The 21,151-nt window shown below is 35.6% G+C and overlaps 1 protein-coding gene and 1 pseudogene across 19 annotated transcripts in view; both read left to right on the forward strand.

Moving 5' to 3' along the window:
* Nucleotides 1–21,151, forward strand: part of GAS2 (growth arrest specific 2) — a 187,054-nt gene that overhangs the window by 51,005 nt on the left and 114,898 nt on the right. For all 19 annotated transcript variants that reach the window (NR_147085.2, XM_047426745.1, XM_011519972.4 and 16 more), the window contains one exon: nt 8,662–8,783. Coding sequence is in view for 18 of the 19 variants with exons in the window: in XM_047426745.1 (XP_047282701.1) it covers nt 8,662–8,783 (122 nt within the window). In the remaining variant the exon portion in view is untranslated. The remainder of the gene's footprint in view (nt 1–8,661; nt 8,784–21,151) is intronic.
* On the forward strand, nt 11,345–11,429 carry RNA5SP338 (RNA, 5S ribosomal pseudogene 338; annotated as a pseudogene).

Raw genomic sequence — 21,151 nt, forward strand, 5'->3', positions numbered from 1 at the left:
TGTGTTCCAGACAGTCATCTAGGTACTAGAGGATAGTGATTAAGAATAAACATAGTACCTATTCTTGCAAAGCTTAGATTAGCAAAAAAACACAGTAAATAAGCAATTGAATATATAATCTATTACTTGTTATAAACACTAAAAGATACAAGTTGCAATTAAAATGTAAACTGAGGTGGGAGTAGGGCAAAGGATCAGAGGGCTTGGGAAATCTTCTTTATGGGAACGTATATTTAAACTGAGAACTGAAGATTAATAGCTAGCCAGACCAAACATGGGGTAAGAGCCTTTGCGAGGAGGGAAGGGCATGTGTTGAGGTAGGAAGGAGCTTGGTACATTGCAAGAAATGAAGCAAGTCTAGTTTCAACAGAAAAGAAAGAGGAAGAGAGTTTCATGAGACATGTTCGGGCTAGATCATGTATTACTTTGAAAATCATATTAAGGAGCTTATAATTTACAGTATGATCTATGAGAAGCCATTGAAATGTTCTAAACAGAGGAAGAGTATGATTAATTAGAGTATAGTCTGCTTATACAGGTATGCTATAATGTCCTATGACTTGTCATCAAGGGCATTTTATTTAGTGAGTGTGGTCATTTACAAGGCAGCTTGATCAGTGTGAGCAGCCCAAGACAGCCTCAAAGAATAGAGAGTCAGTGTGTGTAATGGAAAGATCCTTGGATTAAAAATCAGGAGACCTGGCTCCTAACTGGGCGTCAGGAGACCTGGCCTCTGGTTCTGGCTCTGCTACTTGGTAGGAAACTTGCCCAAAGTCACTCAGCTATCTTTTCTGGGCTCAGTGTCCTCAACCATAAAATGAAGGGGTTGAAGTAGATGATCTCTAATGTCTTTTCCAGATCCAAAAGTCTGAGTTTTAGGAAATCCATCTCTTGAAACCCAGTTTGGGGTAGTTGAGACAGACATTAATATATATAAATAAGGAGAAGATTTACATAAATGAATGACTTTTTTTTTCAAATTAAGACTTTTTTAATGGTCGTAGTTATAACACAAATGCAATTGATGGTTTATGAAATTTTCTCAGAAAAGGAATCCTAAAAGAATCTCAAGATACAGTAAAGTTTGACCTTTGAATTGACTTCAGTTCATACAAAGTAGATAGATAATAGACTTTAAGTCGTTACTCTCATGGCAACTTGAGAAGTCTACTAATAACTTGAGATTATTAAAAAGTGGTAAAACATTTGGAGGTAGAAAAATGCATTGTGTGCTAGAATGGTGATAATAAGGAGGGTAAGAATAAATTTATAGTTATGTTAGAAGATATTTTTCTTACACTTAGATACATTTAGTATTCACATACTTTGGAAATAGAGGAATTAAAGTGAATTTTAAAATAATTTATTATTGGCTGTTTTGTCACTTCAGAAATATTTGTAGATTTTTATTATGCAGCTCTTTTTCAAGTCTTGCTTTTTATCTACTTGAAAGAGATAAAACGTAAAAAACATAAAAAGATGATAAGTCTTGAAAGTAGCTTTGGAATTGATATATCTCCTCTGAATTCCTAGGTGAGGTAGAAATTACATATTAAATTAAAGCTTTTAATTAGGATTTGCTGTTGTGCAAATTTGCTGCTTATTTCTAGTATGCTTGTCTAAAATGTAATTTTTTTCCTTTTATGTTTTTCAAAAGGAGTTTTAATGATATTCTAAATTCAGATATTTCTGATCCTACATATAAACTGTCTATTAAAAATATGGTTCCTTAAATAATACTCCATTTATATTCTGATATTTTGATGGATAAAAATGATTCGATAGAGAAGAAAGTGATTTTGTTAGTTCATAAACCAGTGTTCATATTCATATAACATTTGTATGTATTATACTGTCATTTCCAGGAAATATACTTACTTAATCATTAATAATAATAAATATCATTTTAAATTCCTAGGCATAGGATTAAAGCATCAACTGCAAACTTTTATGCTAGCTGAAATTTATATATTAGAATATAAAATACCAGCTATCTTGTAATGTTAACTAGTTAAAATGAATAAGTGGTTAATAGTAGCTGGGATTTCTCTAGGGGGTAGCACACACTGATTAATGAGAACATTATCATGTAATATTCACTGACTATTTACATATCCTTGGATATATCTACTGATCTTATAGAAAATACTCTTTGCAGTCCTATTAGGTTTTTGAATAATGGCTGGCACCATGGAGCAGTTTTGTGACCAACATTCAAAAAAGACAGCAAAACAGTCATGAAGATCTTATCGTCTTTCTTTACAAAAAGTTTATTTAGCCATTGTTGCCTATTGTACATTAAATATACACATTTCATTTTTATTTTAGATCTTTTGTTATTTTTGCTCATGAACCAAATATTGCCAATTTGTTATTTAACTATGCCCTTAGGGTATATTAGAACATGAAATGCATATATAAATAAATCTTGGGGAAATTTTTAATTGTCATTATGAGCAAACAGCATGTTATTACATTAACAGTCCTGGATTATGGCAGCCACCCATTATTCAAATACATTAGGCATATTCTACTACTTTTATAATTATTGATGGACTTTTTAAGAATATTATTGGCTTGGATTTGATTATATACTAAAATAAGCGTTCTCAAATTGTCTATTTCACATGTATTTTTAATTTAAAATGATGGCTTACCTTTATTTTCAATTAATATTTGTCTAATGCTATATAAATTACATGAGAGCATATTTTAAAGAAAGGATTATAGTTGTTAAACATGAAATAAAATTGTTCTTAAAGCTTATAGATCTTTAGGATATAGGCATATGTGTTTGGATAATGCAGGGACTTTGAATAAATCATCAGATATATTAAAAATCAAGTTGTGCTGAATTGATTTTACTTATATTTAGAAAATGCATTGACAGTTGATGTCATGGTAATTTTCCCTTTCTTTGAGCTTTGTACATGCATATAAAAGAAAATGCAGTTATTTTCCACTTAATATGAGCAATATGTAACATTTCATTTTTTTTAGTTATTCTTGAAAAATAACATTTTCAGCATTAAAAATTTAAGCACCTATTTATTAGGGTTGCTGCTGTCAAATACAGCTACTATCTAATGAGTTTGGAACAGCTTGCTTTTCTTTTTTCTTGTGGCCCTTTTACCAGATACTTATTCTGCAGGGTTCTCACATTCTTGGTATGGCCAATAAAAATTCCTTAGGACAGATGGTATCTTCCGTTAGTTCAAAAGTTTACAGAATCACCTTCATGTTCACAAGTTGACGCCTTTCAGAGCAGTTATCCTAATTTTGTATGTGACTTGTGCAGCAGAACCAGCTTGATCTTTTTTGATATAAATGCAGGGTAGACACTTGAAAATCAGTGTGAAGCAGGTGCTGGTCTAGGGATTTTGCATATAATGAACTGTTTCCTACCTCACAAACTTGAAACTTTTGTCTCAAAATACTGAATAATTTTGGTTAAAGAGAGCATATGAACCACTTTGAATTCTCCAGTTAGAAAAATATATTTGTACTGAGAGGTACAGTGGGGATGAAAATAGAATTTGATAGTATCTGGATCATCTTTAGGGATTAAAAATATACCAACTTTCTTCTTCAGTGAATCATGCCAAATACCAGAACTTGCCTGAATGATATTGTTAGCCATTCTCCAGTCTACAAGGTGGATTGCTATTCATTTTTCAGCACCACAATCTTCAATCCCAAGCTTTTTTTTTCCACCAAAGAGGTTTCTGTAGTGTTTCTACATAGAAAAAGACAGCGGCATGAGGGAGAATGCACTGTCATGGAAAATAGTCATTTGTGTATTCAGCAAACATTTAAGTAGTCAAGCATAGTGGCTAAAAGCATGGACTCTGAACCTAAATTGCCAAAGAGCCAAGTTCCTCTACCCTCGAATTGGGTGACCTGAGGCAAGTTACTTAATCTACACATCTGTTTCATTATCTGTAAAATGGATATAATAATAGCACCCACTTCACAGTTTTCTTGAGAAGACTCAATACATGAATACATGTAAAATGCTTAGAACAGTACTTGACATATAATAAGAACTCAACTGTTAAATATGATTATTAGAATTCTTTAGAAATTTAATACTGCTAATTTATTGGGAAGAAAACATTCTTTCTCAGCAACTTGGAAGATTAAAAGGATTATTTTTTCCAGGTGGCCCCAGTCTAAAACACTTATAGGCTGATATGTAAATCTTTATAAAAGTTATGGCAAACATATTTCTGGGAGGAATACACTGATGTGTATGTGTATGCATGTTGATTATAGTTGCCTGGCAAAAGATTTCAGGCAACTGAAATCCCACCATTGAGCTATAATGTTTTAACATAAAGCAACTAGCCACAATATTTAATCAAATTTCCTGATTTTGATCTACTGGCAAGTTGTCATTCTTGACTAAATTAATCATGCGAAGATCAAATATCGCAATTATAAATTTAGGAAGTGAAACTATTACTTCTAAACTAGGACACTCTAGATTAATGTTCAAACCAATGTCTTTACGGACCAGCACCGGTCAGGACTTTAACATGATTTAATTGTATTCATTTATTGTTCTTTCTTTCCCTACAAACACCAACCACAATGAAATGCTGAGGTTAGGGAAGAAATGATTCTCTGGTGCTAAAATCACACTGCTTCCAGTACATGTAGTCTGATGTGTTAAACCAGGTGCACAATTTAAACTAAAGAAGATTTGATTCTGTGTAACAGAGATATTTACCTTTGTATGACTTTTACTTGAGAAAGTGTAATTATTTCTACACAGCCTGTTCTTAAGAATTTGCCATGGATAAATTCAGCTACTTTTATATTATATTTTTTTGAAAAAAATACTGTTGATAATATTAATATTAATGTAATAATGAGATAATATATCATCCCCATATAAAGATTATAACTGATTTCTTACAATCATACATTGATTGTAATCATAAAGTATATATTTAATAATTTTTAATCATTGGAAGGAAAATATGTTACACATGAAGTTATTTTAAAAAGTCTCAGACTTGTGTTTTTTCTTCATTTGAGGTAGTACATTTCAACTATAAAGTATGTAATAGTCTGTTTTTGCCAAAAAAAACTCACCTTTCAGAGCTATAAAATATACAGAATTGAAAGCTGACACCTAATATATTTTTCATTAGATACAGATGTTCAATGTAAAATTCTTTTTACAAGTATTCATGAAAAACAGGATAACTAAAAAGATATAATGTATAAAAAGTAAAAATCATACTTTTTGGTAAATTGTTAATGGCTTTTTAATGAAAGCCATTTTTTTCTTTTTATGATTTATGTGTTGTTTTAAGTATATTGTAACTATCTTATAACTTAAAATTATGAATGGAATCTTCAAATTGCCATAGAACTTAATGAAATAAGAATACATAAAGATCTATTACAAACGTAGAAAATCTTGCAAATAATTTGTAAAGAAATAATTCAACAATTTAGAGTAAAGTTTATCTTCTTTATCTTAAAATTTAAACTTATTTGAATAACATTATAATTAAGAGAATTATTTCTAATATTTACTTTCTGTAATTTTGTGAAATAATTTTCTTATTAGAAAATGTGGCCTGGCGTGGTGCCTTATGCCTGTAATCCCAGCACTTTGGGAGGCTGAGGCGGGCAGATCACTAGGTCAACAGATCGAGACCATCCAGGCCAACATGGTGAAACCCTGTCTCTACTAAAAATACCAAAATTAGGTGGGCATGGTAGTGCATGCCTGTAGTCCCAGCTACTTGGGAGGCAGAGGTTGCAGTGAGCCAAGATCGTGCCACTGCACTCCAGCCTGACGAGATCGCACCACTGCACTCCAGCCTGTGGTTAGTCACTTTCTGCTAAAAAAAAAAAAAAAAAGGAAAAAAAAAAAAAAAAGAGAAAATGCAGGCCAATATGATGAATACACAATACAAATTCTGTTACACTGGCTTTTTTGTATTTTGGGCATGCTACTTTCATTTCTGAACTGAGCTGCACACAATTTTGAAATAAAAGTTCTGCACAGGCTACCTGTGTGGTGAGTATTTAAAGCTACTGATGTTTTTCCACCTGCAGAAGTCATTATTTTAATTGGGGGCTAAAATATGAACTACTTAAAAAGTAATTTGTTTTCCTTAAGACTGCTCCCAAAAATGGAAAAAAAAAGTCATTTTAAGCAGATGTTTCTTGAAATCCAAATATATTAGATATTCTGAGTTTAACTTAAATGGTTCATCTGTTGTTCCAGTCGGATTTTATTTATTTATTTATTTATGAGACAGAGTGTCACTCTGTCACCCAGGCTGCAGTGCAGTGGTGTGATATCTGCTCACTGCAACCTCCGCCTCCCAGGTTCAAGCCACTCTCCTGCCTTATCCTCCCAAGTAGCTGGAATTACAGGCATGTGCCACAATACCTGGCTAATTTTTGTATTTTTAGTAGAGGCAGGGTTTCACCAAGTTAGCCAAGTTGGTCTTGAACTCCTGATCTCAGGTGATCTGCCTGTCTTGGCCTCCCAAAGTGCTGGGATTACAGTGAGCCACTGCACCCGGCCAGATTATATTTATTTTAAGGTTCATGGAATTGAACTACATGCCTGTTTCTTAAGATAAAAGATAAGCCTTGAGCATCTTGGTATAAAACTTTAAAATAATTTCTTTTTTTTTTTTTGCTTTTGACTTAACTGTGTTTCACAAAAATAATATTAATGTTTTCTCAAAGTTTTCTAGCAGCTTATTTCTTCATTTGTTCATTCACATGCTCACTGAGCACATTTACTAGGTGCCTAGTATGTGAATAACATTATGCTTACCTCTGTAGGAGATACAAAAAATAATAATAAAAAAGATATACCTCAAGGTTTGTAACATACTAAAGAAGACAAACACTGCATACAAAACATACTACTAACAATAGAATATGTTTGATCAGTGCCAGAGTAAGTGATATTCATGAGTATGACATACGGAAAACAGATCAATGTGTACTGGATGAATCTCCCTCTGGAACTCTGATTAAAGATAGAACTTGTCCAAGGAGGTAGAAGGTAGGGCATTGAAGTTGGGGGCCATACCAGGAACAAAAGCATAGCAGCAGAAATAGAAAGGTCTGCAAGGGGAATCTGTGAAGGCAGCCTATAGATAGATCACGGAGTAGGGTGTAGGGATGTTAGATGGGAAAGATGGGTTAGAGGAATACAGGGAGACCTTTGGATATTGGGTTAAAGTGCTTAGTTTTCATATTCCAGGTAAAGGAGAAAATTAGGGATTGTGCAATAAAGGTGTCTGGAGAATGCCTCAGTGAGGACGGTGTTTAGCCATCTTAATTTTAGCAGTGAGCATGGTATGTATTGGAGAGAGAAGTTGAGGACACAAAGAATAGCCATTGTTCTTGTTGCTAGAGGTTTAAGTATCACCTTATGAAGATTTTTATTAAGGTTATGGCATGAGAAATAGAAGGAAGCTTGAATCTGTAGGACTTCTGACTAATAATTTACACAAAAAATTAAGGCAGGAAAATGGAATCTTCTGAAACTTGGATTAATAGGAAACAAAAAAAGGAAGGGGCTTTGAGAAAGATACGTTTAGAAAGAGTATATAAGAAAGCAGTGCAGTGGCACGATCTCAGCTCACTGCAGCCTCTGCCTCCCAGGCCCAAGCCATCCTCTCACCTCAGCCTCCCGAGTAGCTGGGACTGCATGCAGGCATGCACCACCATGCCTGGCTAATTTTTGTGTTTTTGTAGAAATGGGGTTTCACCATGTTGCCCCATGGCTGGTCTCTAACTCACGAGCTCAAGCAATCCACCTACCTCCGGCTTCCAAAATTCTGGGATTACAGGCCTGAGCTACTGTGCCCCGCCTACCTGTATTATTTTAATCAGGAAAACCATTTCAATAGAATCTAGAGATATGGTTTTATACATTGGCCATGTTATTCAAGTTCCCAATGGTGGTTTTTAAAAAATACATACATGGTTCTATTTTAAATTAAAGAAAATTGATCTGGCTGGGTGCACCCTAGATTACATGACTGTAATCCCAGTACTTTTGGAGGCCGAGGCTGGAGGATTGCTTGAGCCCAAGGAGCTCAAAACTGCAGTGAGCTATGATCCTGCCACTGCACTCCAGATTGCGTGACAGAGTACAATCCTGTAGAGAGAGAGAGAGAGCGAGAGACCTACGGCGTTCTTGTAGTCAGACATACACCTAACAAAAAATACTTGTCCTGCATTATGTCCTGCCTTGTGGGTCAAAGTAATTGAATGGGCCACTGGGGATGAGAATGGAATGATTAATGGAGGCCAAATTGTGAAATCACTGGTAAAGCTGGTTCTTTGAGTTTTGTTGGTTAGTTTTCATTCCCCTTGATTACTAAATGATGGAACTCTTTCACCCAGGATATCATTTTGCCACCTTTTATTTGAAATAAAACTGTTATGCAGTTAGCACTATGTTATGAAAATATTAAATGTTGAGATTCTTGCAACCAAAGGAAGATAGAAAATTCCAAAGAAATGACTATTTCTGGTAAGCTCCTATCCCAGTTATGTAACTCAGCTAGAATAGCAATTTTAGTGATAAAACTGTGTCAAATATTTTATTTAGTGTGAATCTGACATTTGATTTTCCTTTTATAATGCTTCTTTTTGTTATTTCAGGGAAGGAGATTACAGCAGAAACTTTTATGGAGAAGTTGGACAATGGTGCCTTGCTCTGTCAACTTGCAGAAACTATGCAGGAGAAATTCAAGGAGAGCATGGATGCTAACAAGCCCACAAAGGTAAAAGATCCCAATGCAAAAATCACTCTTAGGTGGTAGATTACATTTATAATTGCTTATAAATTGTGTGTAATTAAAAAATTTATTGTGAACGGATGCATCAAGGTCTATACTAACAACAAAGTACAGAGAGTTCTTTTTAATTAGGTAACATGTTATTTGCACTCTAATTACATAAATTGCATAATCCTTTTGGTGAATCTAATTAAATAAAAGCTTATGAGAAATGATGGTATTAAAAGAGTATTGTGTATAAACTCAATGAATCTGAAATATTGATTAAAAACTTAGCAGAGAAATAATTGTGTCATTAGGCAATGCACAGATCTAGCCAAGAAAGATTTACTGAATAGATCTTTGTTTTCAAAAATATTATGGCAGAATACTAGAACAAAATTTCTGGACTGTAATTTTTGGTTTATTCTAAATAAGTAGTACCATTGAACTAAGTAAATTTGGACAAATTATTTTATTTCTAACTGCTCAGATTTCTTTTCTCCACATTAATTCTAATATTCTTTTCTAGTGATTATAAACACTTGATGAAAGTATAGTGTTTGACTTTTTTTGAAGAAAACAAGAGAGATTGTACTTAATTTTTAATAGAGAATGAAAAGAGATATAAAAAATATTAAAATAATGTTGGCCAGGCATGGTGGCTCATGCCTGTAATCCCAGTACTTTGGGAGGCTGAGGCGGGCAGATCACTTGAGGTCAGGAGTTTGAGACTAGTCTGGCCAACATGGCCAAAACCCGTCTCTACTAAAAAAAAAAAAAAAAAAAAAAAAAAAAAAAAAAAAAAAAAAAAAAAATAGCCTGGCATCATGACACATGTCTATAATCCCAGCTACTCAGGAGGCTGAGGCGGGAGAATCGCTTGAACCCAGGAAGTAAAGGTTGCGGTGAGCAGAGATCACGCCATTGCACTCCAGCCTGGGTGACAGAGTAGGACTCTATCTAAAAAAATAATAAAATAAAAATGTTGAAGACAATTTAAGACAAAAAGCAACTGTTAAGCCTTTTCTGCAACTCTGACAGAAAAAATAAAAGGGGTGTATGTGTGTATTACCACTGAATTTATTTTTTAAATATTTTATATTACTCCGTAAAGTATTGTATAATATACAAAACCTCCCTCTATTTTTTTATTTCTTAAAAGCAGCTCTGTGAAGGTATTAATTAATTCAGTGGCTCCCAAACTTTGCTGCACATTGGAATTACCTGAGCATCTTTTAAAAAAATGCTGAGAGCTGGGCTGGATGTGGTGGCTCGTGACTGTAATCTCAGCACTTTGCGGGGGTCAAGGCAGGCAGATTGCTTGAGCTCGGGAGTCGAGATCAACCTGGGCAACATGACAAAGCACCATCTGTAAGAAAAACACAAAAAAGTTAGCAGGGAATGGTGGTGTGTTCCTGTAGCCCCAGGTATTTGGGAAACTGAGGCGGCAGGTTCAATTGAGCCCAGGAGGTTGAGGTTGCAGTGAGCCAAGATCACAACACTGCACTCCAGCCTAGAAGACGGAATGAGACCATTTCTCAAAAGTAATAATAAAATAAAATAATACTGAGACCTCGATCCCATGCCTGAACATTCTGATTTAATCCCATAGGGTGAAACCTGGGTACTAGAATTTTTAAAAAGCTCCCCAGGTGATTCTAATGTGCAGCAAAGTTTGGTAACCATTAATTTCTTTTAATTTTCTCCTTAATTGGATGGTTGAAGACTGTAAGTAATTTGTACAAGATTGGCTAGTAAGTGACCAAGCAAGAATTTGACACAGACAACTTTGCAAGTTTAATGCTCTCTCATTTTTGTTCATTATGTCATTATGTGTAGCCCAGGTGTGAGGAGACTGTTTATGAAAATGCTTTGTGTCAAGCTTAATGTTAGGGCACCAATTTTTCTTCTGCTCTCATTTCCATCGTGATGTAACTGGCCTCTACATCAGCTACTGATGAAAAAATATAATGCCGATAAGAGGACAACTTGTATAGAAGGTTTACAGTAAAGCAATGAACAGAGGGAAATAAGCTGTGGTGCCCAGACTCTTGAAAGCATTACCTTCACATTACGAAGTTCCTGAAACTTGTATTGCTTATTGTTGAGGATGGAGAGCCGAATGCCTCAGTGTAAAGAATCCTTGAATCCTCCAGAGTAGTAAAGATTAACCAACTCTATTAAGGCTGTTGTGCAGTTCTGGTTTTGCTTTGTTTATAAGCCTTTGCTTTTTTAAAACAGAAGCAAAGATTCCCAAATAGATTTGTAATTGTAAGACTCAATGTAAGATAACCCTAAAGCATTAGCCTATAGGTCAAAGGCTTTGACATTAAGTGCATTTTGCTTGGGTTCTAGTTTTATTTATTAATTGGACGTGTCTGAGCCGTACTTTCCTTATCTGTGAAATAGGATTAATAATTACATATGTATAGCTTCCATAGAGCATTGCACAAAATAGGGCTCTTGATAAAATCTCTTTTTGATAAAATCTCTTTTCCTTACGTGAAAGATAAGAGACCCTTGTAAGTATTTTCGATTAACTATAAGAAAATAAATACTTTATAGTCTACGGCCATACCACCCTGAACATGCCCAGTCTCGTCTGATCTCGGAAGCTAAGCGGGGTCGGGCCTGGTTAGGCCTTGGAAGGGAGAAAATAAATGCTTTATAAATGTTTGTATTTAGCATGAGAGCTGCTATGTGCAAATATGTATACATTTGCCCCAATCTCCATGATAATATGGAATATTGAGAATATTTATTGATCAAAAGTTATGTAAGTACTTTCCTTTTAAACAGCCATTTCAATATTATAATTTTTATAATAAAACTATAAAACAAAAAGAAAAGAATTTTTTTCAGTTAGTAAAACTGCAGCAAGTTATTAAACTTGAAATAGTTCCGTGAACCTGAGCAAATTTTTAACTGAATATAAAGCTAAATTTTTTTCTGATTGTGATAAAGGTTTTAGTATAAAACCTTAAATGTGTTACTTGAACAAGTGGAGGTTTAAAAATACTTATTATCATCTCACCAAAAAGTCACATGCACCTGTATGTTCATAGCAGCACTATTCACTACTGCAAAGACATGAAATCAACCTAGATACTCATCAACGGTGGACTGGCTAAGAAAATATGGTCCCTATATACCATGGAATACCTTGCAGCCATAAGAAACCAAAATCATGTCCTTTGCAGAAACATGGGGGCAGCTGAAGGCCATTATCTTAAGCAAGTTAATGCAGGAACAGAACCAAATGGTCTCACATATAAGTGGGAGCTAAACACTGAGTACACATGGACACAAACAGGAGAACAAAAGACACTGGGGCCTACTTGAGCAGGAAGGGCGGCAAGAGGGTGAAGGTCAAAAAACTACCTATTGGGTTCTATGCTCACTATCTGGGTGATGAAACCATTTATATACCCAACCTCAACAAGGTGCAATTTACCCATGTAACAATCCTGCACATGTCCCCTCCGAACCTAAAATAAAAGTTAAAAAAAAATACCGATTATGACCTCACTTTCACTGCTCAATACATCAAATTTGATCTGAGGTAAAAGTTGACACAGTTGCTCTTGACTGAATTGCCTTCTCTGTTCTTGGCAGCATTTATATATTCACGACTGACTGCCAGTAATATGCAGCTTAAATCAATAATAACTTGTGCCTTACTGTATGAAAAGTGCAAAGATGACTACATTTTATTTTTTGCCTTTTATAGTAAAATTTTAAAAGATGAAAGGCCAGAGGGTTAGTATGTATATCTTCATGGCTACTATTGTTCATAAATATACTTCTGTTAAACTCAAGATTTTTCAGTCCATTGTTGGTCTAGAAACAAAAAAGACTTATGAGATTGTAAGCATGTTGATGTTGTTAAATCTAAATACAAATTTAAACAATAATGGATTCACTACAACCCAGGTAATTAGGATTACAGTGAATATTTCCCATGGGAAAAAATGAGGCTTTCAAATTGAGTATAAATAGTCTGGAGGTTACAATATTAAGTCTGATTTTACACGTGTGTACACTCATGTGTTCATGTATGTGTTTGTAGAGAACTATTTCTCATTTTGGCATTTTGGAGTTCAGAAAAAATGGTGGCGAAAATGGATGAATTAGTCAATACATTCTTTGAATTAATGAAACTGTGCATAGGGAGATGTTGAAACAGAATTACTTTTAAAAAATTGACAAACTTGATCCCATCCAAAGCCATGCCACAGGAAGCTCTCTGTAATTTTTTTCTAGCAGCTTTAATCTTATCTCCTCATTTTCATAGCAATATTTTTTACTATTCTTGGTTGATAGTTAATTTGGAGATTTTACAGCTGTGTAAACAAATTTGAACGAGTAAGTTATGCCTGGTATGTGTGAAGTATGTCTGTATTAAGGATGATTTAAATGCTCTTAAATCTTTAATAAATGTTAGTTCGCATATTTAATATTTTAGATATTTAGATATTTCTAAATTTAATATTTAGATATAAATCCATGACTCTTTTATATCCAGCTTTGGTTTGATAAAATACTCTGAATGGAAATAATTCTGTCCTATGATTCTTTCTTCCCAGACATCAATAGGTCAATTTAAAAATAGCTTCTTTACGTGTGTGAGCTCTAAGTAGTTAACCTTAGCCTTTGTGTAGTGGGCCATTTTCTAACTCTGCATGGGAGCAATGCAGAGACTTCACAGACTAGGGCAGTAGATGGGTGGAAGCATTTGAGACCAGTGTGCAGCCATTTAATGTGTAATTTTATTTAATTCATTTATACATACTATAATATTATGAATTCACTGTAATTACAAATCTTAATATTTCTGGAGTTGAGGATGTTTAAAGGCAAAAATATAAATGAAATGAATCTTTCAATATTGTTTTAGGATGAGAAAACCAAACCAAATGACAGGTTTAAGGTTAGGTTTTATGTCTTTTGACTCTCAGCTACCCGATCGGAATTGGCATCTCTAATCAAGACAGGGGAATTGTTACATTTATGCGTGAACTTTCTTTTCCCGGTCCAAATAGTGTTCCACAGTACAAACCCCTTCCTATTGTATATTTGCTCTCTTTCCCCCACCCCCACCAATCACAAGTTTGCTGATTTGTGCAAAAGACTCTCTCAACCACGGGGCATCAGCGTGGGGCAAGACATTCAAAAGGTTTAACCTCTCTTTTTCTACTAACTTTCCTTTGCATTTGTCTCATTTATTTTGAGTCTCTTCTTCAGACATCAGAGTTTCTCTGGGTTTAGAGCTTCCTCTGACTTCAAAGAGCCCTGGGTGGTTAGATCAAGTTTGAAGCAGATGAAGGAGGGGGCGGGGGGAAAAGAAGTTCTGTTACCTAGTAGAATGCTGCATTATGCTCCAAGGAAGGAACTGAATATTAACCGTCTAAATGTAGAATCCAGTCCTTGTTCAGGAGAAAGAACATCCTGCAGATAGAATGCCTACAATACATTTGCCCATCAGGAGTACTTGGTTCCTTGAGCTGCAAGATAACAATACCTCAGGATGTTGTTTTGTGCCATCTGGGAATTAAATAAGACATAAAGATTAGAAATTTTCTTCTCAGAAAAATCAATAGCACTTTTTGTTTAGAGAACATCTCATCAAGATTTAATTCTGAGAAATCCAGATATTTGTGTTTATTGCTGATCTCTCTGCCAGAACAAGAAAGTATGGTAGATGCAATAAAAGGTTTTGTATGAAAAAGAAAATAAAATCTCAGCTGTGATTAATCTGGAGTCATTCATTGCTGGCTATACAGCTAAATGATTTTATATCCCTTAAAATTTATTGTTCTAAATTGCAAACATAATGCTAGAATTAAACAGAGAATATATTATGATGAGATGGGAAGAATATAAGTGGCATGATGTAGAAAGAAATAATTTTTTTATAGGTATGTTGCTGCCTGAGACTAAAGGAAAAAGAAAAGTTAGTGGTAAAGTCCACTTCCTCAGGATTTGTAAAATATAGGTAAAATATATTTAAGCTTTAAATACACTAATTTTTTTATTTACTTTGTAATTGCTTCCTGAGGTTGAATTATTTCTCAGTATAAAATTAAATCCCCCTGTCACTATTTTTTAAGTCTCTGACCAAATAGCCAAATTATTCACCTCCAAATCAGAGACAATGAAATGTCTTGCTTAATGTTTTTTGTTTTTTTTTCCACTGAGAGTTTCTGTTCTATACTATCTTCCAGAGATATGCCTAAATCGGGCTTCAATGCCATAGCAATACATGTTGGTAAATCATATAGAATAAAAAGAATGGTATGTAAAGGAGCTTGACTTTTATTTTTCAAATAAAACTCATCACAGGAGACTTGATATGGGCTACATTTGCAGATGGGGGTGGGGGAGCGGAAAGCAGCAATGTGAAAAATTGGGCAAGATAGGGAGTGAGTGATGTGCCTATGGAACTTATCTAGATCTTCATGTCTAATTGAGCCCATCCCATACATGGCACTTGTACTTGTAAACCCAGAAAATCGGAGACAAGTCTCAGTTAATTTAGAAAGTTTATTTTGCCAAGACTGAGGACGTGCGCCCATGATACAGCCTCAGGCAGTCCTGATGACATGTGCCCAAGGTGGTAGGGGCACAGCTTAGTTTTATACATTTTATGGAGACATGAGACATCCATCAATATATGTAAGAAGTACATTGGTTTGGTCTGGAAAGGCAGGACAACTTGAGGCAAAGGCAGGAAGACACGAAGTAGGGAGGATGCTTCCAGGTCACTGACAGATGAGAGAGAAATAGTCGCATTCTTTTGAGTTTCTGATTAGCCTTTCCAAAGGAAGCAGTCAGAAATGCATTTATCTCAGCCATCAGAGGTATAACTTTGAATAGAATGGGAGGCACATTTGTCCTCAGCACTTTCCAGCTTGAGTTTTCCTTTTAGCCTAGTGATTTTTGGGGACCCAAGATATTTTCCTTTCACATACTCAATGGTAAAGTAGTGCTGGGCACAATAAAAAATATGGCCCAGTGGATCATATGGCACTAAGTTCATGATAAACATTTAATGTTTCATGATTACTGGTTCCCATGGTAGAAATTCAGTCTCCATCAGACAACAAGAACAAGCGAGGAACATTTGTGTCGTGTCCTTTCCTAAAAGGGCAATGTTCCTACCTGACCCCTACTACTAGATGCTGAAACTTTGTTTAGTTGGCAGAACCCCTTTCTGCATTTTCATGAGATTTATTCTCTACCCTCCAGAATGTGTGTATTTTATGAAACCGTCTGGTTTCCCTACTATTCCTGCTTTGCAGTATCAAATCTCCAATATCAAATATTGTAAAATAGAAGAGGAGCTTGATGACCTGTGATGTTGAAATATCCATGGTCCCTGTAGGTTATGTCACAGGGCTGGAGATGGTGTATAGGATAGTAAGAATTCTGTTGTTACTGTCAAACATATGCAAACTGATTCTGGAATTTTCTACTTATAAGAATAAAGAAAATTCCATTCTCCAAACCAAGAGATGAATGTTAAGTACCAGGATATTGAGTGATAACACTTCATTGAAAAGACCACATCTGTAACATCGATTCTGATTAAATATGTTACTTCATTGTAATCTTCCCACTGTTTCCAAGTCATGTCAATCTTTTTTTACTGATTTTCATTGAGATGTGGTAGAAGTCACTTTTATTTTTTGCAATGTTCAGGTCATTAATAACAGCATGAATCTCTGACTTTTTAAATAGGTGTGCTTTTTTTATTTGGTACTTTTACCACAAAAGAACTTATTCCATGTGTCAAGGATAAAAATTATGACATTTTTTGAGAATATCCATGCAAATTGCACATTCAGGTAAAACTATAAAAATAACATCTAATGTTTGCAAAAGTGTACTAGTTATAGTGTAAAGTAGGTTTAGGTAAAAAATCTAACTGTCACCTGATTCCTCACAAAGCATTTCCCTTTTCTGAATGCATAGTAAACAGATCAGGTCCCTTTGGAGATTGGAAGGAAGCTTTATATAAAGACTTGAGATCATTACTGCCTTCATTCAGTGAGCTCTGGGTCTATAATTTGGCTCTAGTCTGGGAATTGGGCAATCAGAAAATTTGTTGCTCTTTTTGTTATACAAAGAAACCCAAATACTGCATGTTCTCACTTATAAGTGGTATCTAAATGATGAGAACCCATGGACACATACAGGGGAACAACACACACTGGTGTCTTTCAGAGGGTAGCGGGAAGGAGGAGGGAGAGGATCAGGAAAAATAACTAATGGGTACTAGGCTTAATACCTGGGTGATTAAATAATCTGCACAACAAACCCTCTGACACAAGTTTACCTATATAACAAACCTGCACTTGTACCCCTGAACTTAAAATAAAAGTTAAAAAAATAAGAATTTAGGGAATTGACTTTCAATTTACTTCCCAAGGCCCCATGATTAATAAACCATAATCAGATTTCCTGTGCTTTAGGTCATTCTAGGAGATCTGATTGGCCTCTCCAGATTGTATTCTGTCCGCCATATCCACTTTGCCTCTGGAAATTAAGTGCCAACGTGTGTTCCTGCCACCCGGAGAATTTCCATTCACACTAAAATGAGGAAGCTCATTTCAATAACAGCTCCTGAGACTTTCTGAAGAATAATGTCACCTTAAAAATTTTTGGAGCTTTCTTCATCAACTTATTCTTCACCCTTTAGTGAAAAATAGAGCCACTTGGGTCCCACTGAGTGACATAGTGAAAAGTATGCTTATGTGAGGAATTAATTACAGGTCGAATAGAATGTGGAATTTTTTCTTGAAGTTCTAATTCCTTTATCTATATCATACCAAGTGATTCCTGGCTTTTTGTGCCATTTAGTGTGAGCTATTGTTGAATATATCTTTGTGTTAGCAAATCTAGCAAACTTTAATAGGGTCATTTTATGCTAGCCCATTGAATTTGGGACATCTTATTAGTCCAGTACAAGTAAATTAATTTTGCTGAATCTAAAATTACATCCTGCTCTCCTCAGACTAATACCCTCAAAATCTATTGCAAAGACAGCAACAAACAAACAAACAAAAAACTTCTGCCATAATATATTTAGTGGCACTCAACATTTTAAATGTATATTGAGGCTTTGTAACTAGTTAGCCAGGAATTCCTGAGCCTTACTATGGGATGTATCTAAATTCATCCTCAGCCAGGCTGCAGTATTTTGACGCCTGGTAGAGGTTGTCAGCAATGGCTTAAAAAAGTGTGGGTTCGGCTGGGTGCGGTGGCTCACCCCTGTATTCCCAATACTTCGGGAGGCTGAGGCGGGTGGATCACTTGAGGTCAGGAGTTTGAGACCAGCCTGGCCAACATGGTAAAACGCTGTCTCTACCAAAAATAAAAAAAATTAGCTGGGTGTGGTGGCATGCACCTGTAATCCCAGCACTTGGGAGGCTGAGGCAGGAGAATCACTTGAACCTGGGAGGCGGAGGTTGCAGTTAGCCAAGATCACGCCACTGCACTCCAGCCTGGGTGACAGAGTGAGACTCCTTCTCAAAAAGAAAAAAAAAAGACTCTTTATTCTGTGGCTAGCTGAGATTTAAGGACAGAGCCATTGTTTCAGAACTGTCCAAATTAATTGATATACTTTTCTTAACCTGGTCCAGGAGCATACCGGGTGTAGAGGAATCCACCATGTACCCTCCCTGTTTCCTGGGAGGGTATGCTTGCTATTTTCTTACCCAACCTGCTCATTCTTTTCATGTCTCTGCCTCTCTTCCCAAGATAAGAATGTTAATCCCTTCTCATCTGAGACCAGGATCTGGCAAGGGGACAGGATTTTAGCAAAGGACAGGAGCCAATAGCAAATGCAAGTCATATTATTCTGTAAATTCCATATATCACAGCTATTCAGTGGAAAATTCTTCCATATTCAACAGCTCACAAATGAAAGAAAGTTGGTAGATTTCTCTAAATTTGACAACAGAATATTTGTCAAACAAATTTGAAATAAAGAAAAAATTTCAAAATTTGTAATATTCACCAATAATGAGCTGTGAGGTTGAAAGTGATTTTCCTGAATTATTAGAAATTGTGTCCTGATTAATCATGCTAAAAGAAAGATTCCAATACGTTTCTATTCTTCCTATGCAAATATTTCTAAAACGTTGTTTTTTTAAATTTTATTATTATTATACTTTAAGTTTTAGGGTACATGTGCACATTGTGCAGGTTAGTTACATATATATACATGTACAATGCTGGTGTGCTGCACCCATTAACTCGTCATGTAGCATTAGGTATATCTCCTAATGCTATCCCTCCCCCCTCCCCCCACTCCACAACAGTCCCCAGAGTGTGATGTTCCCCTTCCTGTGTCCATGTGTTCTCATTGTTCAGTTCCCACCTATGAGTGAGAACATGCGGTGTTTGGTTTTTTGTCCTTGCGATAGTTTACTGAGAATGATGATTTCCAATTTCATCCATGTCGCTACAAAGGACATGAACTCATCATTTTTTATGGCTGCATAGTATTCCATGGTGTATATGTGCCACATTTTCTTAATCCAGTCTATCATTGTTGGACATTTGGATTAGTTCCAAGTCTTTGCTATTGTGAATAGTGCCACGATAAACATACGTGTGCATGTGTCTTTATAGCAGCATGATTTATAGTCCTTTGGGTATATACCCAGTAATGAGATGGCTGGGTCAAATGGTATTTCTAGTTCTAGATCCCTGAGGAATCGCCACACTGACTTCCACAATGGTTGAACTAGTTTACAGTCCCACCAACAGTGTAAAAGTGTTCCTACTTCTCCATATCCTCTCCAGCACCTGTTGTTTCCTGACTTTTTAATGATTGCCATTCTAACTGGTGTGAGATGGTATCTCATTGTGGTTTTGATTTGCATTTCTCTGATGGCCAGTGATGATGAGCATTTTTTCATGTGTTTTTTGGCTGCATAAATGTCTTCTTTTGAGAAGTGTCTGTTCATGTCCTTCACCCACTTTTTGATGGAGTTGTTTGTTTTTTTCTTGTAAATTTGTTTGAGTTCATTGTAGATTCTGGATATTAGCCCTTTGTCAGATGAGTAGGTTGCGAAAATTTTCTCCCATTTTGTAGGTTGCCTGTTCACTCTGATGGTAGTTTCTTTTGCTGTGCAGAAGCTCTTTAGTTTAATTAGATCCCATTTGTCAATTTTGGCTTTTGTTGCCATTGCTTTTGGTGTTTTAGACATGAAGTCCTTGCCCATGCCTATGTCCTGAATGGTAATGCCTAGGTTTTCTTCTAGGGTTTTTATGGTTTTAGGTCTAAGGTTTAAGTCTTTAATCCATCTTGAAATAATTTTTGTGTAAGGTGTAAGGAAGGAATCCAATTTTAGCTTTCTACATATGGCTAGCCAGTTTTCCCAGCACCATTTATTAAATAGGGAATCCTTTCCCCATTGCTTGTTTTTCTCAGGTTTGTCAAAGATCAGATAGTTGTAGATAAGTGGCGTTATTTCTGAGGGCTCTGTTCTGTTCCATTGGTCTATATCTCTGTTTTGGTACCAGTACCATGCTGTTTTGGTTACTGTAGCCTTGTAGTATAATTTGAAGTCAGGTAGCATGATTCCTCCAGCTTTGTTATTTTGGCTTAGGATTGACTTGGCGATGCGGGCTCTTTTTTGGTTGCATATGAACTTTAAAGTAGTTTTTTCCAATTCTGTGAAGAAAGTCATTGGTAGCTTGATGGGGATGGCATTGAATCTATAAATTACCTTGGGCAGTATGACCATTTTCACGATACTGATTGTTCCTACCCATGAGCATGGAATGTTCTTCCATTTGTTTGTATCCTCTTTTATTTCATTGAGCAGTGGTTTGTAGTTCTCCTTGAAGAGGTCCTTCACGTCCCTTGTAATTTGGATTCCTAGGTATTTTATTCTCTTTGAAGCAATTGTGAATGGGAATTCACTGATGATTTGGCTCTCTGTTTGTCTGTTGTTGGTGTATAAGAATGCTTGTGATTTTTGTACATTGATTTTGTATCCTGAGACTTTGCTGAAGTTGTTTATCAGCTTAAGGAGATTTTGGGCTGAGACAATGGGGTTTTCTAGATATACAATCATGTCATCTGCAAACAGGGACAATTTGACTTCCTCTTTTCCTAATTGAATACCCTTTATTTCCTTCTGCTGCGTAATTGCCCTGGCCAGAACTTCCAACACTGTGTTGAATAGGAGTGGTGAGAGAGGGCATCCCTGTCTTGTGCCAGTTTTCAAAGGGAATGCTTCCAGTTTTTGCCCATTCAGTATGATATTGGCTATGGAGCTGGGTTTTTGAAAGGATCAGCAAAATTGATAGACCGCTAGCAAGACTAATAAAGAAGAAAAGAGAGAAGAATCAAA

Source organism: Homo sapiens, chromosome 11, assembly GCF_000001405.40.
Source record: "Homo sapiens chromosome 11, GRCh38.p14 Primary Assembly".
In the NCBI taxonomy this organism is placed as follows: Eukaryota; Metazoa; Chordata; class Mammalia; order Primates; family Hominidae; genus Homo; species Homo sapiens.